The 27,791-nt window shown below is 42.3% G+C and overlaps 1 long non-coding RNA gene across 1 annotated transcript, besides 2 other annotated features; it reads right to left on the bottom strand.

Annotated features, from left to right (window-relative positions):
* Window positions 1-26,811, bottom strand: LOC101927548 (uncharacterized). Its single transcript, XR_001753531.2, has 3 exons — window positions 26,702-26,811; window positions 5,538-5,614; window positions 1-130 (listed from the first exon to the last, which is right to left on the bottom strand). It is a non-coding gene; the product is annotated as an uncharacterized LOC101927548 (long non-coding RNA).
* Window positions 25,881-26,836: an enhancer, noted in NCBI's record as "H3K27ac-H3K4me1 hESC enhancer chr18:19903753-19904708 (GRCh37/hg19 assembly coordinates)". NCBI's record gives its function as "activates a minimal SCP1, AML or CMV promoter by ChIP-STARR-seq in primed H9 embryonic stem cells {active_cell/tissue: H9 hESC(primed)}" and the evidence as "EXISTENCE:reporter gene assay evidence [ECO:0000049][PMID:30033119]".
* Window positions 26,837-27,791: an enhancer, noted in NCBI's record as "H3K27ac-H3K4me1 hESC enhancer chr18:19904709-19905663 (GRCh37/hg19 assembly coordinates)". NCBI's record gives its function as "activates a minimal SCP1, AML or CMV promoter by ChIP-STARR-seq in naive H9 embryonic stem cells {active_cell/tissue: H9 hESC(naive)}" and the evidence as "EXISTENCE:reporter gene assay evidence [ECO:0000049][PMID:30033119]".

The following is a 27,791-nucleotide window of genomic DNA, read 5'->3' on the forward strand; positions in this document are numbered from 1 at the left end:
CATAAACATATCACAAAAGCACAGGTGTCCTTTGATGAAGAAACGATGTCATGGCAGAATAGGGTCAAACGGTGATCTGTAATGTTGGTCTCAGGAAGTCTGGAGAAGGTAGTAGGTCCAGGCCATGGTTCTAGAGATGGAATGGAGAGTGGGAGAAGGAAGAAATGATAATAATAGCCAATGTCATTGATATGACCCGTTTCACACACATAGAGGAACAAATAAAGTCACATTTCACATATTTTTTGAAATTAATACCTTCTCTACTCCTCACATGCATGGAGAAGTAGGAAATCCTGTCTTCCTCTCTTAGCCCCTCCCTCCCCTTATATGGACAGGAACTATGGCGGGGCCTTATTGGTGCCCATCTTCTCATGCTGGGCCCAGAACTCAGGTGCCCTGTTGAGGCTGGAGGAGCCCTATTGCTGAGTTCCAAGAACAGTTCACTGTTGCTGGTTTTGTTCCAGTGAATGAGCTGTGCCTGGATCTCTCTTTTGGGTCACTGCTGCAGGCACACAATTGTTCTTTAAAGGGTAAAAGAGTTTGATTCCCACTGGCCTGCTCTTCCCCTTCCTGGAACAGCGTTCCCTCCAGTCTGCAACACCCACACCAACTCACTCCCCAAACTAGCCTGCTCCCAACACTACTACATTTACAATTTGCTCCCTGCATGGCCAGTTTTGGTGCTAATATTCTTGGGAGGGCGTGCTTGGGACAGGCTCTGGCATCTATTGCCACATGGACCCAGAGTGGCCTCTACCCTGAGATCGTCAACTTGCTCCCTTCCAGAACAAAGAAAAGTGTGCCCAGAAGACATATTCTTGCTTCCACTTTTAGAGCCACAGGAAGCAAATTTCTGGAAGATTTCAAATACATTTTGTTCCTAATTTTACCCTCAAGTGTTCAGAAACGGTGAGATCTAGTCTCCTGACACCCCACTGCACTCAACATCTGTGTTTTAAATCATTTAAAAAGTGGATACTTGTGTTCTTGTTTATTTATTTTCTTGTTTGTTTACTCTTACTAGGCAGGAAGCAAAAGTGCTGACTTTAAGTGCTTGAAGTGCTGGACACCCCACACTCTGGCTGTATGGAGAAATGATGGTATGTGTGTGAGTTTGTGTGAGTGTGAGAGTGAGTTTGCACGTGTGCATGTGTGAGCGTGAGTGTGCGTGAGAGTGGATACATGTTTCTGCAAAATCACAGGCAGGGAGTGGCTGCTGGAGGAATCCACGTGGGCCCAGGTACTGAGTGGTAAAGGGGAGGGAGAAGTAGGTAGGAGCCATGCAAAGGTGCCATCCACAGAGAAGACCCAGGGAGAGAAAGCCACTGGGGAGAGAAAAGAGTCCATATAGTGGTGGTAACAAAACGCTTATTCTGGAGCCAGAAGAAAGAACAGGGTCAGAAACCTGCCCTGCTACTTAAGCTGTGTGACCTCAGTTTCCTCATGTGTATAAAGGGAATAACGATGATGATGATAATGATCATAAGCCATATTAAAGGAGCTGATATACATAAAGCATTAGTAAATGCTATGAAAGTGTTAGCTTTTGTTATCATCATCACTTTTTTCCACGTGTGCAAAGATAGAACGATGTTTTGATTTTCTTCTGAAACGTTTTCTGTCTTACATGGCAGAGTGAATTGAATATTGCCAAGAGCATATTTAAAGAACTGTAGATGGTTAATATTTGGGCCAAATGAGGGGTTTTCTCCTGCTGAATGCCATCAAACTAACTTTTGGGTCTATGTGGGTGAGGAGGGTGAAGTGGGGGCGTGCACACACACGCACACTCACGCTCTTTGAGAAGAGAGATATTGAAAGACTTTTAGCACTGTGTTATGCAATGTGCAGTGCTGCATCTTTTCTGCATACCCTCAAGAAATTATCAAGATAAACTACTTTGCTCTGTAAGGCCTCGGTCAGATCTGAGTTTTGTTTTGTTTTTTAAAATAGGCCAAGTTATATTTCAGGTAAAATTAAATTATTTCTTTCCATGTAAATTATTTCTTTTCATATTTAGTACCTTAAACCTCTAAATAAATTTAGTCCACAAATTCTCCTAGTCTTCATGTTTATTTCTCTCCTAAAATACTAGATTCCTTTAGCCTGATTTCCCCTATTTTGCCACATTTGAAAAATATGGAGGATTTCTGCTTGATTTTCTCTTCTACTAGTTTACCTGTTATATAAGTGAAGCTTCTGTTTAGTTTGTACATTTTTTGAAGATATTCATGCAGAAGAGATGCTTACTTGGCGATCAGAAGTCACGTGTTGACTATGGCTTCTTATACATTTTGGGAAATACTTTCTTCAGAGCTCCTGAGTAGCTCTCTGGCTCTGATGACATTGTTCTATCAGCCACATCTAGAACATTCTGGGCGTTTATTGCTGCTTGTTCTAGTGTTTCCAATCAGTATTTTCTTTCTTTTTTTTTTTTTTAATTATACTTTAAGTTTTAGGGTACATGTGCACATTGTGCAGGTTAGTTACATATGTATACATGTGCCATGCTGGTGCGCTGCACCCACTAACACGTCATCTAGCATTAGGTATATCTCCCAATGCTATCCCTCCCCCCTCCCCCCACCCCACCCAATCAGTATTTTCAAATGGAATTTGGGAGACAAAACTTCCCTAAAATCTTCATTTAGTCTCTTTCTTGCTCTCTCTTTTTTTAATTTCCATCTATTAAATCTTTTGTACCATGATTAAAGGAGGTCCCACAGACTTCCAGCTGAACTTCCTCTTTCTCTTACTCCAGCATTGAAAGCTCCCAGCAGTTTCTGGTTTATACCTGTCCCTTACAATCTGTGTGTCCCCTGTTCCTGTGAGTCTCACTTGGCCAACCTTTACATTAAAAAAAAAAAAAAAAAAAGAGGCCAGGCACGGTGACTCATGCCTGTAATCCCAGCAATTTGGGAGCCCGAGGTGGGTGGATCACTTGAGGTCAGAAGTTCAGGACCAACCTGGCAACATGGTGAAAACCCGTCTCTACTAAAAACACAAAAATTAGCTAGGCATGGTGGCACAGTCCTGTAATCCCAGCTACTTGGCAGGCTGAGGCAGGAGAATTGCTTGAGCCTGAGAAGCGGAGGCTGCAGTGAGCTGAGATCACGCCACTGCACTCCAGCCTAGGCAACAGAGCGAGACTGTCTCAAATTTAAAAAAAAAGTATTCTTCCTAAAATAGAAGTGGTTTTTGTTTTTTGTTTGTTTTTAACTATTAGTGGTCATATAGATTTTTTTCTTTTTCTTTTTTTTTTTTAAGGATCAGATTTTTTTTTTTTTTTTAAATCTCTGGCAAGTACTTTCTTTTGGTTTCTAGTAATGTTTAAACAATAACCTGGTTTTCTCAATTAATTTTTCTTTATATGATTCCTTGTAATGCTTTTGTTGTTGTTGTTTCCAATTCACTGCTTGTGAGTTAATTACAGTTCCCTTTTTAAAACTGGGTAACTGAATAATGGATATTTTTTATTTTCTGCCAGAATGTGGAACTAAATTGTGTTGTAACCATGATTACATAGTGGTTCCTATGAAAATACTTTCTCTGTAAATTCTTATCTGGCTCTTAAAGCCCAACTGTGATATTTCCTTTGTTTGTGAATTCTAAAGAGCAGTCATTTGTTTGATCCCCACACTCCTTACCAAATGGTGTTTAGCCCGTTTGTACGATTAAACGAGGTCCGTCATTTTTCTACCTTGCTTAATCTTGTGATTTCTTCACTTTCATTTAATATCTCCAGTTTTATCTCATAGATATTTGGCTTATAGTAAAACCCTGTTGCCACATATTCGTGATTTAACTGTGAAATTTCTGCCTAGGAAAATTCGACTGTATTTTCTTAGCCCTGCAAACATTTTCCAAGGTTGCTGTTGATTTTGTTCCTTACAATGCACTTTTTTTCTGGGAAACACCCTCCATTCTGTCCCATATTTATAACCGGGAAGCTCTTAGTCCATTGTTGGCTAATGATTGCTATGTAAAGCCCCTCACTTTCAGCTCAAGAGCCGAATCCCCCTTTTCTATTTTGTGTGTTTCTAAGCAGAAAGTGGTAGGTATGTTGGCTTCATTTTCCCCAAGCCCCACATTGTCAGTTACCTAATTAGGTGGGTACTTCATTTTCCTTTTTTTTCTCACTGTCAAACTAAAACTAAAACTCACATTCATTCACACTGATCAGACTCACCCTAATATCTACCTTGAATGCAGCTTTCTGCTTTTTAGTGCAAGAAGCTGTACACCAGTTTGGTTTGGGTCAAGCCTGTCCTGCCTCTGTAAGTTTGAGTTATCCTGAGATAATTTTAGTCGTTAGGTAATTGTCAGGGACTCTAACAAAGTGGAAGTTGATCTCACTTTCAAGTAAACACTATCTATGGTTGGTACGATTGCTCCCTTATCATCAGGGATCCAGGCTCTTCTCTTCTTGCCTCACCGTCCTCAACATGTGGCTTTCACTTTGTGGTCTGAGATGGCTTCTGTAGCCTGTGCCATCACGCTTAGATTTCAGTGAGCAAGAAAGGAGAAAGGAACAGCAAAGGGGCATACTCCCTGAAATTGCACACACGACTTCCTCTTATAATCCATTGACCAAAACTTTGTTGTAGGGCAACATCTCAGCTGCGAAAAAAAAGCTAGTCTTTATTTTAGGCAGCCAAGTGCCCTGCTAACCTTTGGGAATTCTGTTACTGAGCGAGAAGGGAATAATGACATTGGAGGTCAATTAGAAATATTTATACATACCTTAATTTCAAATAAATCCCCAACTTGCTTCTTCTATAATCACATCTATGTATCTACATTTTGGGAGCTATTTAATTCTACAGTCTTGTCTGTGGGAACTCCATGGCAGAGGTCCCAAACAAACAGCTCTGCCTTCTGGGTACAAGCGATTCTCCTGCCTCAGCCTCCAAGTAGCTAGGGCTACAGGGGTGTGCCAACACACTGGGCTAATTTTTGCATTTTTAGTAGAGACAGGATTTCACTATGTTGGTCAGGCTGGTCTTGAACTCCTGACCTCAAGTGATCTGCCCACCTTGGCCTGTCAAAGTGCTGGGAGTACAGACGTGAGCCACTGCACCCAGCTAAAATTCTAATGCAGAACTTATCCATGTTCCCAATGGCTGTCTTCTACCCTCCATAGCATTACAAGAGGCAGGCCACCTTTATTCTGGCACTGAAGGTTACACTTTTCTAGTAAACTGGAAACTCCAGAATCTGAGAAAAGATTGTACTTTTGACAATGCCAAAGGCTAAAGTCTCCTGCTAAATATTGCATTTGATTTTATTTTGTGGTGATTTGCACATTTCTAATCTGAGGAGCTCCAGATTTCCAGTTTACTTTTATTTACCACAGCTTTCTTCCAAAGCCTCTGTTCTGGGTGGGGTGTTTTGCTGATTCTTTTGCCTTTCCCATTTGCTCCTGGAAGATCTTCATGTTTACATTCATTTCACATACAGACATTTCTCTTTTCCTGAAATTCTCATGCTTTGCTTTTCACCAGGTTTTTAAAAACATCTTTCCTGGTATCTACCTTATTCTGTGTCGAGTGTCTATTTTTCTTTGGATTTCGGCATCGGTTGGGCCTCTTTCTGTTTGTTACCGAAGTAACTATAAAAAAGAAGAGAAAATGTCAGGTAAAAAATTCACATGATCCTTAAAAGATCAATTAGCTGTCTGATACCAGCTATCCTTATCCAAGAACCATTTTTGTCTTGAGCTCTGATTGCTTCTCCTAGTAAAATATGTTTTGATTACATGTAGCACTGTTCTGCTATTTTGCTAAAGATTAAAACATGACCTGGCAACATATAATATCTCGGTGCGTATTCTCAATCCCCCCAACCTTGTAAATTTCAAAGTTATATAAAACTAAAGCCAACAAGAATATTAACCTTAATTTTAACCATGCGTCTTAGAATCAGAAGTTAAAAAGAAATATTCCATGGATGACTAACTCATAAATATATGTTACGAATTTTAATCTGAAAAAAATGCATCCTCTACTTGATAAATTCCCCTTGTCTTCAGTGCCACCACCCGTATTCTCATCCCCAGGGTTTTCATTTCCTCTTTCCTCTCCTTTACTCCTTTATTGACAAGCATCTTTCCTTTCTCCACAGAGACTCTTGGATTTGTCCCCGGGTCTTCGTGTCAGCTGTCACCTCTCAGAGCCAAGTCCCTATCAAGTCCCATATAAATTTTTGCAACAGCCTCTTTACTGGTCTCCTCACTTTCAATCTATCCTCCTGCCTGCGGCCAGATTCATCACTGCTTTCATCATCTCTGTCCCCCGATTAAGACCCTCCACTATTTCCTTATTTCTGATTACTTCAAGTCTGGGCTCAGCCTAGTAACAATGAGCCTTGCTCCATGGACTGTATTTTTCAACTTTCTTTCACAGAGCATCCCACTATGCATGCCCGACTTCAGTCACATGGTTTTCAGCATGCTCTCTTCTTTTTCTGTATATTCCCATATTCTTGTCTGCTTATCCTCTGCCCTCCCTGTATAACCTCCTCTCCCCTAATCCACATGATGCCTTTCCTTTAATTTCCTGAAGACTTCCTGCTCTCAACCCATTCCACAGCAATCCATCTTTCTGAGGCGCTATTTCGAACTGTGGTCTGTATTTGTCAAATTACTTCGAATTGAAGATTATGTGAAGGTCGCTACATAGTTGTTCTATTAAGGTTGCTACATGATTGTACATCTTCTCTTTTCAACTGCTTTCTGTTCTTTGTTTTGTCTAGCTGGCTATAATTTGGTATTTAATTGTTATTGAACAAATCAACAAATGAGAACCATGTAGGAGTCAACACATTCATTTCATGTATTTTGCTCTAATGTCCCATACTTGTTCATGGTGTGGAACTGGGGTTTGGATCTTATTATTTTATACATGAAATTCCACACTGTTCTGATATATATCTTTGTTTCTTGTCTTTATGGCCTTGTTATTTCCATTGATTACTTGAGGGAAGCAATTAAGAGACGCAGATCACAGAATAAGCCCAAGGTGAATGAGATTAAACCAAGAAAGAAGACGAGAAAATAAAAATTTCCTCACTGGGATATGCGGGCTATCCTCATTGGATTTAATTTATAATGAATTAGAAAAGATTTAAATATATTGCTTTAGAACTGTCTGTTTGAATTTGTTTCCACCCTGGCTGAACTATTGATAATTGATTTATGTGGGCTGTTTCCCATGATATTGGACAAGATCATGTACAGCCAAACAAAAATAAGTGAAGTCTAAGAAGAGTTAAAAGGGAGAAACCACCAGTCAAAACTAAAACCCGTGGCTCTCAAAATCCATTTGTCTTAGCAAGAAAATAGGCCTTGAAATTCAGAGTCTCAAGTTGCTGTTGAACATTGCAAAGTTTGGGTTGGTGTTATGGCTAGAATTGGGCCCAAATATTGTGCTCGTAGGAATGCAGAAAAACATGAAGGCACATGCTTGGGGGAGAGGGGGTTAGAATTGTTCTGGCAGAGTTTCATGTTCATTTGCTCTGACAGAGCCAGGAACATTTTGGTCTTCCCTATCTGTTGAGGTTTATTCATCACTTTCTGTAAACCCCAAGTACCTAAAAGGCCATAATCAAACTTGCTTATGAGGCAGACACCTGGAAGTCACCATGCTCCATGGAGAACAAGAATGGTGTGGCAGAGACTGAGGAGATGCTTGCCAGTCCTGACCCCTCCTCCTGGGCATTTCTGGCCTCCCTGGTAGTTAAGTTGGAGCCATATGACAAGCTCTCATCAACGGAATGTGAATAAAGGTGTTGTGTTGTCTTCCACTTCTGGGCCTGGCTGCCCAAATCTCCGTGGAGGTTCTTACCTTGCTCTTTCTCTTTGCATGCTGACGGGACAGATGAGGAAATGACAGTGGAAGGTTTGAAGGGAGGGTATGGAAGAGCCACAGATGGAAGGAACCTGGGTCCTGGGACCTTTGTATGGAATGCTGCTCACAGAACTCCTTCATTGAACATCGAAATATATGTAAAATATACTTTCATTGATTTATGCCTCTGGCATTGCTTCTGGTGTTGCTTGCTGCAGTTTCTGGTGTTGCTTGCTGCAGTTAATTAGCCTCACTAATACAAATAATATCTTTAATTCATCCTAAGATTTGAAATAGTTTTATTAAGAAAAATTACTTGTCCAAGAAAAAATTTTAAAAGCTACCAAATTTAACTCAATTTAATAGTTGATGAATATTAATAATAAAATAAATTAATAATAATAGTAGTAATAATATTGAACCCCTGGAATTCAAGGCTGCTGTAATTCAAGGTTTGAGCCCAGGAATTCAAGGCTGCTGGGCTGGAGCCCAGGAAAACAAGTCTGTTTTCACACTGCTGATAAAGATATACCCAAGACTGGGCAATTTACAAAAGAAAGAGGTTTAATGGTCTTACAGTTCCACGTGGCTGTGGAGGCCTCACAATCATGGCAAGAGGCAAGGAAGAGCAAGTCATGTCTTACATGAATGGCAGCAGGCAAAGAGAGAGCTTGTGCAGGGAAACTCCTGTTTTTAAAACCTTCAGATCGCGTGAGACTTATTCACTATCACAAGAACAACATGGGGAAGACCTGCCCCCATGATTCAATTACCTCCCACCAGGATCCTCCTATGACATGTGGGAATTGTGGGAGTTACAATTCGAGATGAGATTTGGGTGGGGATACTGCCAAACCATGTCAGCTGCAGTGAGCCAGGATCATGCCATTGTGCTCACTCCAGCCTGGGCAACAGAGGGAGACCCCATTTCCAAATACTATTACTACTACTACTACTAATAACAACAATAACATCATATTTATATAGTGTACTGAGAATATATATGGGGAACAAGAGAGAATATTTTACTAAGAATAGCAAGTTAAAAAACATATACAAGTGAATAAACAGTATGCTTACATGTGCTATGAAGAGAATAGGACACACTAACCTGAAACAGAGTGATGGGCTGGGGCCTAACTTAGATGGAGGACCAGGGAAGATCTCTCTTTGAGAAGGTGATATTTCACTCAAACTTGGATAGGCCCCAGTTATGTGGTTGTCTGGGGGAAGAGCTGTCTGGAGAGACGGTACAGCATTTGCAAATCACTGAGGCAGGAACAAACCTGATGTGCTCAAGGCACAGGGAGAAGAAGGGTGGCAGAAGCCTCAGGGGCAAGTACCACAGTGAGCGGGGAGCGGTCGTGAGGCCCAGACCTCTTATAGCTTTTAGACCAGGATTCAAAGTTTGCACTTTATTCAAAGAGCATTGGGAACTCTTTGTGAGTATTCAGCGAGGAGCCTGATTTGTGTTTTGAATAACTGGATGCTGTTTGGATAATGGATTTTAGAGAGAAAACATGGAGGCCAGTTAGGACACTAGACAGTGGTCCTGGAGAGAGAGTATGGTGGCTTCACCTAGGATAAAGTTGGATGGATTTGGGATTGAGATGAAAGAATGATTTTTCAGATGGCTTGAACATGAGGAGTAGGGGAAAAGAAGAAGATTTATTAATTCATTCAGCAAATATTGATTTAACATCTACTATGGGCCAGGCACTCTTCTAGGCTCTGGGAATAGAGCAGTGAACAGAACGGGTCAAGTCCCTGCTCTTGAGACCTTATTCTCTCATAGAGAGGGACAGATAATAAATAAACATCTTATGTCAGGTAGTGACAGGGCTTTGAAGTTAAGCAAAGCATTGTGAAGGGATGGCTAGAGTTAGATAAGATAATCGGGAGTCTTCTTTGATGGAGTGATATTTAAGCAAAGAAATGAGGAAGTGAGCCACATTGCTCTCTGGGGCAAGGGTGTCCTGGAAGAGGAAATGGCAAGTGTGGAGCCCTGGAGGTTGAAGCCTGAGTGGCATGTAGGCAGAGTGGTACACAGGTACCAAGGAGGGAGGGGAGTGAAGGAGAGAGGTTGCTGGGGAGACAAGGCCACGGGGAGGTGGGCAGGTGGGCAAATCATAGAGCTGGTGTCCCTGGCCCTTGGAGAGTTTTTTGTTTGTTTGTTTAGACAGGGTCTGGCTCTGTCAGCCAGGCTGGAGTGCAGTGGCATGATCTCAGCTCACTGCAACCTCTGCCTCCCAGGCTCAAACCATCCTGTCACCTCCACCTCCCGAGTAGCTGGGACTACAGGTGCACACCACCACACCTGGCTAGTCATTGCAGAGTTTTGAGTAGAGGAGTGGATGCAGGAAGGCTAGGTAGAAGGCAATCATCTTGTCAAGACATGATGGTTTTGTTTTCACCACTTTTTTCCATGATTTTCACCAGAATTTTCACCACGATGGGTTGTTTTCATCAATGCTTAGACGTTGATGCACTGATTGAGAAGGGACAGACAGAGGAAGAAATATGGGAGGAGAAATCAAAGTTCTGTTTAGGATAGGTTAAGTCTGAAATGCTTATTGGACCTACAATGAGAGATATCAGGTAGATAGCTGATGACTGAGCCCAGAATTCCAGGGAGAGTCAGGACTAGAAAGAGAAATTTGGAGTTGCCAGCTGAGAGATGGTATTGAATCCCTCAGGACTAGATGGGATTTTTTCACCCAGGAAAAGCCTGTAGACAGAGAAATGAAAAGAGCTGAAGTGTAGCCCTAGAGTTCTCCTACTTGTAGAAGTAGCATGAGGGGAGGAAGGTTGAGGAGGAGTGGCCAGTGAGGAGGATAAAAATCAGAAGTGTTTAGTGTTACAGAATCCAAGACAAGAGTCTCAAGTTAGCAGGTTCATCTCTATCCAATTCTGTTAGCAGTCAAAAAAGATGAGGACCAAGATGTGACCATTAGGTTTGACAACACAAAGTCACCGATGACTTTGACAAGACAGGTTTCAGAGGCATGATAAGGGCAGAAGCAAGGGAGGAGTGAGTACAGGAGGGGAAGAAGTGGACAAGGGGACAGTGAACAGCTCATGGGACAAGTTTTGCAGGCAGAAAAACAAAGAAATGCGGCAGTAACCATGGGGAAATGCGATTTCCGTGGATCAAAGCCTCATATTCCAAGACATTAGGGGAAAAATTCTCATTGTACTGTGTTATACCAATTTCTACAGGAATGAAGGCTTAATGTTTTCTTTCATGTATAGTTGCATTTTAAAATGCAAACCTCTGTCTTGCATGTAGTAAATAGTCTAATATACATTGGATACCTAGAATGAATAAATATTCTGGCTAAGACTAGCTCTGGAGTGAGTGTGTGTGTGTGTGTGTGTGTGTGTGTGTGTGTACACGTGCATTGTTTTCAAGTCAGGTGGGTTGGAAATCTTCCTGACAATCTGTTAGGCATCAGGAATTTTTATCTCCAGATGGGTGCCCCATTTTTCTTCTCGATAACCTCTTGCTAATGAAGAGCCTTGGATGGGAGTTCCATTTACAAATGGTGAATCATTAGAAACAGATTTGTAGGCAGGGAAGGATCTTCCAGCAGCAGAGCCTCACTTCTGAGGCATGCAGTCAGTTTCCTGCACAAATGGGCCTGTGAGCAGCTCCACCAGAGGGAAGACAACTCGTTCCACACACCCACTCCCACACCGCGGCTCCAACTACAAGCCTTCATCTGAGAGCCTGAGGGCAAAAGGACACGCTCTTTGTTTATTAATCACCTCTCCAGCCCCTGGCTTTTCCTCTCTTCTCTACCTCCTTTCTTACCAGTTATTGGGAGACAGAAACATTTCCTTCTATTACAGCCCATAGTTGTTAGCTGTGCCCTCAGCTCTCCCCGCCTTCTCTAAGCTTCCTTTCAGTCGGTCCTTCCTGGAGCCATCATGGTTTTCTGTCCCTGGTTCTCATGACCAGTCTGCAAATGGATCTCCTACTGCTCTGAGGCAGGGTGTTTTGCTGCCTCGAATCCTTTCTAAACCACTGTGGAAGGCAGGATGGGCCAGTGAGCTTTCAACAGGAAAGCAGAGTCAGGACCAGCCTGCGTTCTGGGATTTATGATTAGACTCTAGCTTCACAAGTCCTAGCCCATCATTCCCATGATGTTTTAACTGGTTTTTCATTCTTCTTATGCTCCTCCTCCTAAATGCTCATCACACGACCCTCCCATTGCTGTCTGTCCCACCACCAGAATGGTGGTCCCAGTACTCTGTCATTCATGTTCCTCCTTTCTGACTCCTGGCCATATCTACCACTATACTACCATGAATACTACTAATCCTACCATTAATACTACTCATCCTACCACTAATGCTACTATTAAATCAACTGACCATTTCACTTAAATATGTACTTAAGAAGGAAATTCTGTGGCTATATACATAGAAATTCACATCAAATAAAAAATAAATGCACCCCTCACAAAACACCCCAAATCAAGTTTATATTATCACACTCTAGCTGTATGCTTGTTTACCAAAGCCTCTAAGCTTGCTTTTATTTTTTAAACATAAATAATCAAGTATGAGAGCATTATTAAAGATATTCCAGTAACAAACTGAGACTTTTTCTTTGACACGTTCTGAAGGATTCAAAGAGAAGTGCTGTTTGCTCAGTATTGTGAATGTACTACAAGCCACTGAATGACACACTTTAAAATTCATCATGGTTAAAATGGTGTATTTTATCTCAATTTTTAAAAAGCCCAAAAGAATAATTTTGATTCAGTGTTATTTAATACCATGTTATAGTATTGCTTAAAATCTTTTCTCCCTCATTTTGGCAAACCTTACCCCAGTAAAGATGTAATGCTCAAGAGGCTGAGATCCATGCGGCTCTGTCTTAGAGTAGCACTGCTGTCAGAAGAACATGGCCTCGTGGGCTAAAGCTGTTTTAAGCTGAGCCAATACCTTCACCTGAATTTCTTGAATGATGGCGAATATAGCAATACACACAGAGTACAGCAACGTTCCCCAAAAGCCCCTGTTTACTTCTTCCCACTTCCAATATGTTTGAACTTTAATAATTTACTTTTCACTCTTTAGGTTTATTTACTTGTAAAATAGAGATAATAGTAACTATGTCAGTTTTATGATTATTAAATAAGAAAATCATGCAGCAGCCTAGCACAGTTCCTATATGAAATACAAGTTAGCTCTCTTCCTCTATCTCCTCAACTCCTTTCACTCAGTTGAAGAATATTCAGGGAGCAAATTCATATTGATGCTTTATGAATGATTTGATGCTGATATGATGATGATTTGCTAGAAATCCCTACAATCCAGAAATGGAGTAACTTAGAGATTCTGGGAAATCATCACTATATAGCCAGTACCAAAAAAAGAAGAAGAAGAAGAAAAAGAACAAATAGATTCTTCTGAGCACTCTTTTCAGAATCATTGATTGTTGATATACAGCTCTTCATTTGCATTAAGAAGCATTAAGAAATTATTTGTATCCCCACTGGGTTTCTATTGAATTCTTTTCTAGTACAGTTCTATACGTTGGAGTTTTGCCAATTTGGTTTAATTAATTAATCTTCAAGTAAAACCAAAGCATATTTACAGTATTTATGGGATTTCGTTATGAAACATCATCACTTCTGGTTCACTTGCATTCTGCTGTTTTTGGTCATCATTATTTGTATTGTTGGATTTGGCAGCAATCCTGGAAATACAATTTACTTTATGCTAAAACCATGTCTAAGAAAAAGCTGTGACTCCACGGTGGAGTGAAATATGGTGTACACTCCCTTGCATTGTGTTCTTGGTTTTGGAGATACATCAAACTACGAATGATGTATTCTTTCAAACTTGAGAAAGTGTGGGAGGTAGGGAACTTTTAGATGCCACAAACACGTTTTAAAAAGCATCTCAGAACCAGTTCTCTCTAAGAGGAGAAATACAGTTAGATTCTCCATGGTAAAAAGGAAGTTTTTTTTTTTAATTTTTGTTTTTTAAAGCACTGTGATAGGAGAAAAGGAATACTCTCAATGTATAGGCTCCTTGTGGCAACTGAAAAGACAACCAAGGCATAAGCTTGTGTGTTTCAGGCATAGTTGGTTTGTGGAGTAACTGAGGCCATCTGAAGTGCTTTTTATGATGGGTTTTGCAGTTCATTAAACATTCACTTACAGGGAGAATCTTTAACACTGTAGTTCGTGAGGTAGGCCTTTTCCTCCCAGTCCAGAAGAATAAAATTATCTGGAATGAGAATCGGATGTGAGACAAGTTAAAGAGAATTGGAACTTCTTTTTCTAGGCATTTCAGCTGTATTTTTAGCAGGCAAAATAATTTTGGGGAGCATCATATCTAAATCTTTCACTCCCATTCTTTGAATTTAGCAATTCACGTATATTTTGGGAAAAAAACAACATATGAACACCTACATCTTACAAGGAAGATGTAGATCTATACACACCTAGCGTTGATGTTAAGTGTCTCCCTTCATGGATGAGGTGAAACAGAACAGTTTCACACAGCTGGTGGGAATGTAAATAGTACAACCACTATAGAAAACAGTATGGAGGTTCCTTAAATAACCAAAAGTAGATCTACCATTCAATCCAGCAATCCCACTACTGGGTATCTACCCAAAGGAAAATAAGTCATTATATGAAAAAGACACTTGTACCTACATGTTTACAGCAGCATAACTCTCAATTGCAAAGATATGGAACCAACCTAAGTGCCCATCGATCAATGAGTGGATGAAGAAAATGTGGTATATATACACCATGGAATACTACTCAGCCATAAAAAGAAATGAAATAATGTCTTTTGCAGCAACTTGGATGGAGCTGGAGGCTATTATTTTGAGTAAAGTAAGTCAGGAATGGGAAACCAAATATCCTATGTTCTCACTTATAAGTGGGAGCTAAGCTATGAAGATGCAAAGGCCTAAGAATGATGTAATGGACTTTGGGGACGGGGCCAGGGAAAGTTGGTAGGGGTGAGAGATAAAAGACCATGTATCGGGTACAGTGTACACTGTTCAGGTGATGGGTGCTCTAAAATCTCAGAAATCACCACTAGAGAACTTATCCATATAACCAAAAACCACCTGTACCTCAAAAACTATTGAAATAAAAAAAAAAACAGAATGTTAAAGAGTATCCCTTAACTTGCCCTTCATTAGTGATCAGTACCTTGTCAATGGTAGATAGATCCCCCAAAGTGCTGTTGGTCTGTACATAGGCCGTCCAACTATGTGTAGGTTTGTCACCAGTAACCTAAACTGACACTAAGTGTAGGTAATTTCAGCTCCTCAAACAGGCATGATGGTTTTCAGGAACCATGTCAACTAGAGGAAACCAAGAGGATTTTCTGAAAGCAGCTGATTAATTCTTCGATGACTTCTCTTGGGGTTCCCTGATTTCCCATGGAATCAGACAGCTCTGAGCTGTAATCATTGGTAGTGTTTTGAAATCTTCACGTTATATAAACAAATCATCATCTTGCCAGGTTTGGGGGTCATCCTGTTAATAGGTCTGAAACAGGAACTCAGTGTGAGTCCTGGGTCACGGCCTCTTTTCCCCCAAGATCACATTTTTTTAGACAAACATTGCTTACTTTCTTTAACTGCAGAAAGTCTGTGCACGATTAAGTAGAATTTAGGCTCCTGGTGGTGTGCTAAAGTGAAACAAAGGAATTCCAGTGATTGGTAAGACAGGTGTTTGCTTCCTCTTCCTTGTTTTGGGCAGCACAGGCAAATCCCCCACATTACTGTTGTTCTTCATGGGATTGCCCCTTGGAGAGAGGATGGACACTGCTTATAAACCATCGTCCAGGTCCTATTCCCTCCTCTTTATGGTCGGAGGCACAGTTCTGAGTTCCCCCATATCACAGCAATTACCTTGCATCCCTTTTTCCCCTTTTTGATTACTATAAGTTTGAGTCAGCTCTTCATCCTCTCAAGTTGGCACCCATGGGAAGAGGCCAAGTTTATTTATCTTTGGTGCATCCTGTCTTCCTTTTCTGCCCTTCTGTGGCTTTTGGTAACTTCTTCATCCTTGGGCATTTTTTTGTGCTTAGCTCTTTTCATCTCCTCCCTTCTAAAAAAAAGACTCTTTGGCAAAGGCTCTGATAAACACATTTGCACTGAGGTGTAAATGGCTGATAAAAGATGCGTGTTTTGTTTGTTTGTTTGTTTGTTTTTTTACTAGGAGCATTTGCTTTGGTGCAAAGATATAAATTTCTAATGGTGGAATTTCAGATCAGCAGCCAGGGAAGGGAAGGAGTTGGGGGTGAGATATCTTCTTGAGGCCCCCATCAGCCTGCTTCTAAGGACATCCTCCTCCAAGGTAGCAGCCGGTCATAGGAGGCCCGGGCTGCTGTCTGTGGGAGGGGCTGGTCCCATGGTGAAACTCTGGCCTCACTCCACGACCAGAGCTTGAAGTCCTGGGGCTCTGTCTGAAAATCTTGAGCAAGCATCTTGCTTTTCCCAGAGGAATGTTTGGAAACACTACGAATATCACATTTGTGGTATATGTTTCATTACTTTACTGTTTTCTTCAGCTGATCTGATAGATACTTCATCGTTTTAAGGATTCTTGAACTTGCCCTTTAGCGACTCCAGTGCAACATCCTGGGTTCCCACATAGAGGTTAGTTCTTGCTGACAGAAACCTTTTAGTCTCATCATTCCTCAACTTGTCTAAATCAGAAGTGTTTTCGATATTCAAACCCTGACCTCCAGTAAATGAAAAACTGTTACAGCACAGTGAAATTCCTCCAGGCTTGGAGCACATACATCCATGACCACATCACTGCAGAATGAGATGACTAGGGCTGATGTCAAGGCAGGCAGCACCAGCCCCCACAGAAATGCCGGCCCTGCCCCGATTTCTTTGACACAACATGCAAGCCAGGCCTCTCAGGCACACTCCCAAGATGTGACATCTTCCAAACAACCCCTGCCCCATTAAAAAAATAAAAATCATCAAGCTTCAATGTAACTCAAAGCAGAAAGTATTGGTTAACATTATTTTTTTCCCCTAAAATACAATTCACCTCTCAGAGAAACTACTTTTGGATTCTGTTTATTCTAGTGAGTTGAAAATTTACTGTGGCCAGGGGCCTGTAATCTCAGCACTTTGGGAGGCCAAGGCGGGCTGATTGCTTGAGTCCAGGAGTTCGAGACCAGCCTGGGTGACATGATGAAACCTTGTCTTTACAAAAAATTTAAATAATAGCTGGGTGAGGTGGCACGTTCCTGTAGTCCCAGCTACTTGGGAGGCAGAGGTGGGAGGATTGCCTGAGTCCAGAATGGTGAGGCTGCGGTGAGCTGTGATAGCACCGTGGCAGAGTGAGATTCTGTCTCAAAAAAAAAAAAAAAGAAAACGAAAAATAACAGAAAATTTACCCTGAATTTCACCTTATATGATTCTATGATGTTTATGTGTGTTGAAGAACAAGTCAGACCTATAGGGTAAAGCGTTGTGTATTTGTCGGTTTTCTTTATCAGAGTAACTCAATTTTACCTGTCTTATCATCTTTCCAGGGCCTTTGGTATAGTACGTTCTCATAAAAAATTGTGAGGTGAAAAAGCAAATAAAGATGTTTATTTCTAACCCTATTTTGATAAGTTGAAATCTTTCATTTTCCAGCTGTTTTGTCTATAGTATACTAAACTTCCTCCATGGGCACAATAATACTGTTTATACTGCAGTGTGGGTAAACCTCAGAAACATTATGCTAAGTGAAGGAAGCCAGTCACAAAGGATCCCATATTGTACGGTTCCACTCATGTCAAATGTCTAGAATAGTCTAATCTATAGAGATAGAAAATACGTTAGTTGTTGCCTAGGGCTGAGGGAGACAAGAGAAATGGGGGTGACTGCTAAAGAGTATGAAGTTTCTTTTTGGGGTGATGAAATGTTCTAAAATTATGTTATGGTGATGGTTGTATAACTCTGTAAATGTGCTTTGACTTATACACTTTGAATGTTATGGTATGTAAATTACATATCAATACAGTGGTTTAAAAATGAATAAACTGGCCTGGCATGGTGGCTTAAGCTTGTAATCCGAGCACTTTGGGAGGCCGAGGTGGGCAGATCACTTGAGGTCAGGAGTTCGAGACCAGCCTGACCAACATGGTGAAACCCCAACTCTATTAAAATACAAAAATTAGCCAGGTGTAGTGGTGGGCGCCTGTAATCCCAGCTACTCAGGAGGCTGAGGCAAGAGAAACACTTGAACCCAGGAGATGGAGGTTGCAGTGAGTGGAGATCATGCCACTGCACTCCAGCCTGGGTGACAGAGTGAGTGAGACTCTGAAAATAAAAAGGAGAAAGAAAGAAAGAAAGAGAGAGAGAGAAAGAGAAAGAAAGAAAGAAAGAAAGAGAGAGAGAGAAAGAAAGAAAGAGAGAGAGAGAGAGAAAGAAAGAAAAAAGAAAGAAAAATGAATAAACTATGGTCTTATAAAATGGAAAGAAAAAGAGAGGACTTGGTTTGGATCCTTACTGCGGTGTAATATGAAAGACATTTGGTCTTTGTCCCCAGTTCCTGGCAAAGAGTTCCCTAACACCCAACCTATGGGATCTAATGCTAACTCCAGATAGATAATGTCAGGATTGAATTGATGTATAGTATACCCAGTTGGTGTTTGCTGGAGAACTGCATGGTGTGTGGGGAAAATCCCCTCTGTGTCTGGTCACAGAAGTGTTCTGGGCTGTGATGCAAGCACAGTAGGAGAGAAACAGAGTATCTTTCTTCAGAATTGGCATCAGAAGTGTTGCGAGAGAGGGTAGAGCAACAGCGAGTGTGCTTACCCCACCCCCCAACCTTTCTACAAATCTGGGAAATAGAATGAATCTGATCATTTTACTGGTATAGTAAGAAAATGCTTTGTTGTGGCTATGAAGGTGAGGATGAAATGGGTGAGGGTACCCTTCGGAGATGAAAAGGAAATTAAGGTAAGTGGGAAAGAAAATAAAAATTGAAGCCAAGGAATGTGTGCTGGTCACATCCTAAGGTGGCTCGCAGTGGCCCAACCTGTGTAACTCCCTCCTCTCGAGCTTGGTGAGACCTATGACTTGCATCTGACAATAGACTATGGCAAAGCCGCTGCGACATCATTCCTGTGATTATGACTATCAGACTCCGTCTTAGACTGGAGGGAGAAATTCTCCTGCTGGCCTTGAAGAAGCCAGTTGCTCTGACGTGAGCTTCTTTCAGAGAAGGCCACATGGCTGGCCCCCTCAGGGACCTCTAGGACCCGAAGGTGGCCTCTAGCCAACATCCAGTTAGAAGCTAGGAGCCTTCAGTCAGTCCTACAACAACAAGGAACTGAATTCTGCTAACGATCACATAAGCCTGGAAAAGGCTGCTCAGCTCCAGAAGGAATGCAAGCCAGCCAACACCTTGATTGCAGCCTTGTGAGGTCTGATGTTACCATCAAGATAGATAACGCCAGAACTGAATTACCAGCACCCAGCTCAGCTGTGCTGGGACACCCGGCCTCTAGAAACTGTGAGATGAAAAATGCATGTTGTTTAAGCCACTAAATTTGTGGTAATTTTTTATACAGCAATAGAAAACTAATACTATTATTGTAATAGTAACAATAACCGTTATAATAACAGCATATTGGAAATTAGTATGTGCCAGGCACTGGGCTAAGCTCTTTATACACAGAAATTCATGATTTCATTTTGAAGAAACAATATAGGATGGGTTCTGGCTCTGAACACAGACCACCAGGTTCCACGCGCTAGTCCTGTCTACTCGCCAATGACAGGGCCTTCAGCAAGTCACTCAACACCATTTCCTTTCAAGCCTCACATTTGTCCTTTTTGGTTGTTTATTTTTTGAGACAGGGTCTCGCTCTGTCACTCAGGCTGGAGTGCAGTGGTGAGATCATGGCACACTGCAGCCTCGACCTCTTGGGCTCAAGCAATCCTCCCACCTCAACATCCTAGGTAGCTGGGACTACAGCCACATGCCATCATGCTCGGCTAATTTTTTTTTTTTTATAGAGACAGAGTCTTGCTTTGTTGCCCGGGGTGGTCTTGAACTCCTGGCCTCAGGTGATCAGTCTGCCTCGGCTTCCCAAAGTCCTGGGATTACAGGTGTGAGCCACCGCGCCCGACATAAAATGGGTTTAAGAATGGTGTCTGCCTCACGGAGTTGATGATAGGGTTACATGAAATAATCCTACATCAGTGCCTGGCTCAAGGTAAATGCACGATAGTCACTAATTGTTGTTGCTGTCATCGCTACTATTTATTATATTGTTACATTCACGGTAATTAAGAGACCTCCTCTGCCACTCATTCATTGGGTGGCCTCGAGCAAGTTATTTTCTTAACTGAAGTTCTTCATCTGTAAAATGGGCATAGAAACAATACCTTCCCTGTAGGATTTTTATGAGGATTAAATGAGACGGTGCCTGTGCCACAGTGCTATGTCCAAGGTCTGACAGATGAGATAGACTTCATTCCCTTCTATCAGGGTGGAGAGGTGCCTCCTGGAAAGAGGCCAGTGTCAGATGGGACGCTATGCTCCCTTCCTTCATTCAGCAGTTTCATCTGTAAGACTGTGAAAAGGCACCTAGCACAGTAATCGAGGACTTGTGCCAATTCTCAGTAAGAAGGAATAGCTGCTGCTATGGTTGCATATGATCAGCATAGCTTTCCCAACATGGGTTCTTTATTGTAATCATTTTACATGTGCAAAACTGAGGCTTTTATAGAGGGTAACTTGCCCAATGCCAAACAGAATCAGAACTGAAAGGCAGATCTGCCTGGTTCTAAAAGCACAAATACTCCAGAAAAGCATATTTTGCATAGATTACAGTGGACTAAGACCCTTAGCAGGGGTCAAAGCAAACAGTACACTTGGAGATGGAGGATGGGGGAAAAGGGAGTAAAGAAGGATGGTCAATAAACGTAGGTGATGACAAGAAGGAAAAGAAAACAAAGGCTAAATGAAATTTCTGGTAAACAAGCTCATGGCACTAAGATGCATTTAATTCCACTTATACATTTTACAAGTGATTGTGATTTTTACAACAAAACGGTGACACTGGGTTAGAAGTTCTCATTTCCTGTCTCAGGGATGGAGTTGTGGACAACCCAAGCAAGTACTTCTATGTCTGATTTCTGTGGGGCCGTGAGCTGAGACAGACACGATTGCAAAATCTCACAGTCTGGCTGGAGCTAGTCGGGAGGGGGAATCAACTGGTCTCTCTTTATCCAGATAAAAGAAGGAAGGCAATCAGCAATGGGATGAAGTTGTGCCAGGGACACACACTCTGACTTCATGCCAGTTTGCATCCTGGCTTGGCTCTTTTGGAATTTCAGGGCCTCCCCCGACAGTGTATCCTACCACCCATGCATTGGTGTCACACCAGATTGACCTTTGGGGCAGCGGCAGGATTAGTACAGTGTTGTTTGTGCAACAAAGTTACCATCCTAGAGCTGACTGAGCTTGCTGGAGCACTTTTGTAATATGAGATAGGCCTGGTTAGCATCCTGGATTACGATGATGATGATGATGATGGTTAACATTCATTGACTTGAAGAGTGCATTGAGACATTGCGAGACATTCTAATGGAATGCTAAGAGCACAGACTTTGAATCTTAATTACCTGGGTTTAAATTTCAGATCTGCTACTTACTAGCTGTGTGACTTTGGACAAGTTACTTAACCTGCCTCAGTTTCTTCATCTGTAAAATAGAGATAATTATAGTACCTCCATCATACGGTTGTTGTAAGGTTTATATGTTGTTACAGGCAGTATAATGTGTATGTGTGTGTATAAATACATGTGGTATATATACACACTATACATGTGCATGTGTGTGTATGTGTATATATATATTTTTACATACTCCTGTGTGTGTATATAGTTACATAATATATAAAGCCTTAAGTACAGTGAGTGATAACTATGATTGAGGGCTTCCTCTGTGATAAATGCTCTAAAGACATGATCTCATCTCATTTTTAAAATGGTGCTGTGAGGCTTCACTTTTTCCATTTTACAGATGAGGAACCAGAGGCAGAGAGGTTAAGTGACATGTCACAGGTCACGTGTTGATGAAACTAGGATTTAAATCCTAGTTTGTTTGACTTCAGAGCCTGACATTTCTCTTGATGACTATGCAAGTGTAACCTATGCCATCTCCCCATGGATTGAAGCAAAGGAAATCCTGCCCACAAATATCTTTCATATACCAACACAGAAATTCAACTGCAGTACTGTCTACAAAGTATTTCGTAGCTGACTGGTTTTAGCATAAAATAATTTATGGCTACTCTAATACAAATTAGAATGTTATACAAGATACCTGCATGCGTGCTGCTGGATAAATGAATTTCACAATCTGCACCTGCAGAGTGAGGCAGGTGAGCCTGTTGGGGAGCGGGGATTAATTGAGAATGTTTCTTTCTTTTCTCCAAGAATGCACACTCACTACCCAGGAATAATGAGAGTTTTATCAGGTTGCAATTGAAGAGGAACAAAGAATCCAAATTAGGCATTGTGCTAACTAGCTGCATTTAGTTACCCAGAGGATATCATTTAGTGCCACAAGATTTCATTCATTCAAAAGAGAGACTGGCAGCTGCTGTGCCACATTGTACTGGTTGCTGAGGGAGTGCTGATGAGCAGTCCAGAGTCCTGCAAGCAGGAAAAGCTTGTCTAATTGAGGGGCCGTGGCGTGGAGCATGGTGGTCTAAAAGCATGGGTGACCGAAGGGTGTCTCTCTGCAGACAGAAACCCCCAAAAGCTCATGGTGGAAGTGAGTTGGGCCCAGTGGATGAATAGGGGCTCACCAGGCAGAGAGCAGAATAAATAAAGGCCTGCCAGGTAGGAGAAACTATATTTGCAAAGACATGGAGGAATGAAAAGCTTGCATGCTCAAGAAACAGCAGGAAGTTTGGTCTTGCTGGCGCAAAGGGTGAAGGGAGAGAGAGGAGGAGGGTGGTGTGGACTATGTAGCTGACAAGGTCCATAGGTTGGGCTGGAAAGGCCCTGCGCTTGTTTCCAGGAGTGTAGGCTACAGCTTTGGGAAACAGGGGTTGAGCATCAGGCAGTGACACAGCTCTTCACATGTTTGCCTTGTAAAGATTGGAAGAGGGTAAGGCTGGCAGAAGAGCGACCAGAAAAAAGAGGATTGCAACAGTTAAGACAAGAGCTGATGAAAGGTTGAATTCAGGAAGTAGCAGTGGGGAAGAGGGAGAGTTAAGAGATGGGAGGGAGACTGTTGGCATTGAAACAACAGGGATTGCTCTCAGATCAGATGGGAAGTTTGAGGGGGAGGAAGGTATTAAGGGGGACTCTGAGATTTCTAACTGTGGACAACCAGATACTTGACTACATAGGAAACACACAAAAAAGCATTCGCAGAAAGAAAAAGAAATATTGAGTTTGAGATGGATGTGGATATATGAAGGGTGTGTGCCTGACTGATTTTTATTTCAGACAGTAGGCAATTGATACATGGTGGTTGAGTTTGCTGGGTTCTAGCTTGAAGAGCCAGTGGGCAGATGTGGTGCCGGAACCCAGGTGGGCATTGAGGGGTGGAGACCAGACATGGAGGTCCCTAGTATAAGGGTTATAGCTCAAGCCTATAGCTCAAGTCCTATAGTTCAAGCCTATAGCTCAAGTCTATAGCAAGTCCTATAGCTCAAGCCTATAGCTCAAGTCCCTAGTATAGGGATTATAGCTCGAGCCTGTAGCTCAAGTCCTGTAGCTCAAGTCTATAGCTCAAGTCCCTAGTACAGAGGTTACTAATCAAGCCTATAGCTCAAGCCTACAGCTCAAGTCCTATAGTTCAAGCCTATAGCAAGTCCTATAGCTCAACCAGGGGCAGCTACGTGGCATGAAGGGGGAGTGGGCTGAGAACTTGCTGGTGGTGAGGAGGCATTCCCATTCTGGAGGAGAGAGCTGGGGAGCGAGACCCGGAAGAATCATGAAGGCAGGCACAAAAACAGGAGAAACAAACAAATTAAAGTCAAGAGAATAGAAAGATTCAAGAAGAGAGTGCTGGAAAGTGTCAGATGCCACCAAGAGGTCATGTGGGAGACTTGTAGGATTCCTAATTAGGAACCCAGCAGAGGACCTAGGATTCGAGTCTCAGGCAGGAAGTGAAGGCATCGAAAGGAGGTTGTGGTTGGGATCAAAGGAGGCGACTTACGTGACAGTGTGGTTATTATTGTCAAAGAGAGGGTACCAAAGTGGGATCCGGTATTAGGACATTCATGTCCTGGAATAATTTTACAACATCCTGTCATCAAATCTTGGAAACTAGGAAAAGATTTTTGTTACCGAAGTTGTTCCTGGCATTGATGCTGATGGCTTGTGGAATCACATGGAAGAAGGGGATTTTGAAGGAATGTGTAGAAGTGTTTGGAGAAAAGGAGAAAGAAACGGTAAATGGATGGGCCAGAGGTGGCAGTGAGGAAGTCAGGTCAGAGGGAAGGGGAGGGTCTGCTTGTCTGCAGTGAGTGTCTGATGTGAGGCACAATGGCCTGGACAGCTCATCACTAAGCAGTCGGCTCTGACGTGAAATGCCCTTGGAGCCACGGTAGTTTTCTGAGAAACAGAGTGATCAAAACAGCATAGTATGTGCAGAATCAGGGTACAAGGCCAGAATGTCAGAAATGACCTCCACAGTCTACACTTGCTTGGTCACAATCTGAAATGGAAATGTCTGTGTGTGTTCTGGTCCCAGCAAACTCCAAAAAGCGCCTTGGCCTGGGTAGCTGACATCACACTCAATTGCACATGCAAATGCAGTAATTACGCCTGAAATATTAGAGGTCAGCTGGAGGCCAGCGGAAGATTTGGTCTCTCTGCTTCCAGATTTTGAAATAGCAGATTATACACAACTCACTGTCTTCCGCCAAGACCTTGTTACACACATTTGTCAGGATCTCATTTTGCAATTTCCATTCCTTTAAAGAGAAATCCTCACACAGTGGTGATTCTGGCTGTTTTTCCCTAAAGTGCAGATTGTCATAAACCCGCACTCTCTCCCGGGGCCTGTCAGCCTCCTGGGCCCTGCAGTGAACACACCATCACTGAGGGAATGCGGGACACAGACAAGGCCGGGATTTTCTTAGGAGAAACGTTTTGGGAGAGGTAGATATTGTAGAGTCCTGAATATAATATGGCACAACAATTTTATGTATTCCAGACAGGAAAAGTTTTTTGTCAAAACCTCTGACAGTTTAAACTTTAAAGCTTCAGCAAAACTTTTAAACTTTTAAACTTTGAACTTGTTTGAACCTCTCGTGATTTATGAATTATTAAATGTACCACTGAAAATCACAGACTTTAACTAGTAAAGCTTTCTGCTTAAAAGCAACTGAGAAGAGGGTGGCTGTGGGACTGCAGGAGGAGGAGAGGGCTGGGGGTTTTGTCGGAATGGCGCTGCTCCTGGTTGCATAAAAGCCAAATCCAGAAAATATTTAGGAGGCAAAAGACCCAAACCAAGACAGAAACTACGAAAGAGGAGAGACATCAAAAAGTGAAATGGAAACTGTCTGACACTAGTTATGTAGGTGTATCTAAATAAGAGTTGAACTAATTTTATATTTAATATGTATATATTATATATTAGTGATAAAATATACATGACATAAAATTTAGCATTTTAGCCACTTTTAAATGGATAGTTCAGTGGCCTTAAGTACAATCACATTGTTGTGCAACCATCACCACCCTTCATTTCCAGAACTGTTCATCTTCCCAAATGGAAACTGTCCCCGTTAAACACCAACTCCCCATTCCCTTCCCGCAGCCCCTAGTAACCACCATTCTTTTTGTCCACATACCTCATATAAGTGGAATTTTGTATATGTATGTAGGTACATTCACATAAATATGTATATATATATATGCATGACTGAAATTTTATGTGTGTATACATTATATATAATATAATATAAATATAATGTAATAAAGTTAAAATATATGTATATTATTTGACTATTCCATGTACCTCATATAAATGAAGTTATATCATGAATATATTATTATATTATATATTATTAATATAATTATATAAAATATATAAAATAATGTATTATTACATGATTCCATTGATATGAGGTATAGAATAGTCAAATATACATATATAGTAATATATTACATCTATGTAGTCATATTATATAATATATATTACATATATGATATACAGTATATAATATGATTCAATTTATATGACGTACATGGAATAGTCAAATAATATATATATTTTAACTTTAAATTCATAGTAACAAGCACAAGGGGGTATTAGGTAAGAAAAGTTCTGAGGTTTTTCATGCCTTTCAGACAGAATTGAACGGTAAACAAAGTGAGTACAGATAGGGACAGAATCTGACAATAATTTATGCTTCCCAGAGGGTGCAGTCCATTTAAATCTCCAGGAGCTCCGAATTGCTCTTGAAGTGTCTGGGTCCTGTGGCCAGCAGAGCAGTCTTGAGAGCTCCAGCGGGCAGGGCTGGGCTTGGCTGGGCTGGGAGGAAAGGGGAGGGGCGCGCAGCTTGCGGCGGGCACACAGCGAGCCCGTGGAGGGCGAGTGCCCTAGGTCCTGACTCCAGCTTGGAGCTCAGGCACGTGTGGGATGGGCCGGCTACTTCAGCTTCCCCAAGGCTCCCAGCACGAGGATTCCATTACTTTCTGTTAGTGTGCACTCAAGGATTTAGTAACCAGTTCACAGAAAAGCCCCTCACTTCACAGCAGGAAGTGTAAACTCAGCATAAATCTTGCCAGCCTGCAGGGGAGCCGGTTAGGAATTTAGGAATTACCTAAAGTTTCGGAATCCACCCGCCGCGCCCTTTGCACATTTTACCTGGGATGAGGCCTAATGGCCTCTAGGAGGTGCAGCCCAATAGGAGGTCGACAAATTAAGCAGGGATTTGTTTCTTTAAACACTTCCATTGTTACCAAAATGAGAGCGAGCCCTGGAAAGTCTAGGGCGTGGGAAGGTTTTGTCCCCTGAGGAAGCAAAGAAGACAGGCAGTGGTTTGAGTGGGTGGGCGCTTCCACGTGGACAGAGGGCCCCCGGGAGGGTGGAGCGAGGGGCCCCTGGGAGGGAGGAGCGAGGGACCCAAAAGGGGAATGGTGGAGCCCAACCGCGACTGCTTGCTTCACAGTTGAAGGGCTGCCCCTTCCTTTCCCTCTTGGAGACCTCTGTCCTGGTGCCGCTGGTGCAGCTTCGGTTACAGTTGGATCTGTCCAGTCCTTTACCCTGCCTGCATGCACACATGGTCTCAGGGAGTGAATTCCTTGGGCGGCTGCCATGTCTGTGCTGGGACTCTGGCAATAGCCAGAAAGGCAGGAGGAGAACTAGGGGTGGGAGAGGATTGGGGTTCCGCTTCTTTCTTCTGCACCAGATATCAGGACCTGGGCACCACAACGGAGGCCAACTAGCAGCAGGTGGGAGTTGATGCCAAGTCCCAGGATATTGGACTAGAGCTGTGTTAACACCTCCTGCTGAGGTTGAGGCCTGGCAGGGTGAAAGGAGGGGTGGCCCAGCTATGAACCCAAAGTTGGAGGCTCCAGGGTGTGCTTGAGGCCCCTACATTCTGACACCCTCAGGCACCAGCGTTTTCAATGGGAGGAGGATTTCTCTTTTCCTCTTTTTGCAGTGGCATTTGTAATTCTAAGAGAGCTTTTGTTTCATGATGGATCTTTCAAGGATCTTGTATAAAGGCCCGGCACACAAGTCCCTGGGCTTAGCGTGAGTGGCCCCATGGGTGGATGTCCCCAAGATACGTCCGACAATCTATTGCTTAACTCTGCCCCCGCCGCACGAAAGAGGCATCCACAGTTCACCAGTTGCCAGAGAGAGCTGCCACTCGCTCTCCTTCTCTTACCCTGCCAGCCACCAGGGTCATGGAACACTTGAGAGAATAAGAACAAAATAAAAAAAGAGAGCA

This window comes from Homo sapiens, chromosome 18, assembly GCF_000001405.40.
Source record: "Homo sapiens chromosome 18, GRCh38.p14 Primary Assembly".
NCBI classification, from domain to species: domain Eukaryota; kingdom Metazoa; phylum Chordata; class Mammalia; order Primates; family Hominidae; genus Homo; species Homo sapiens.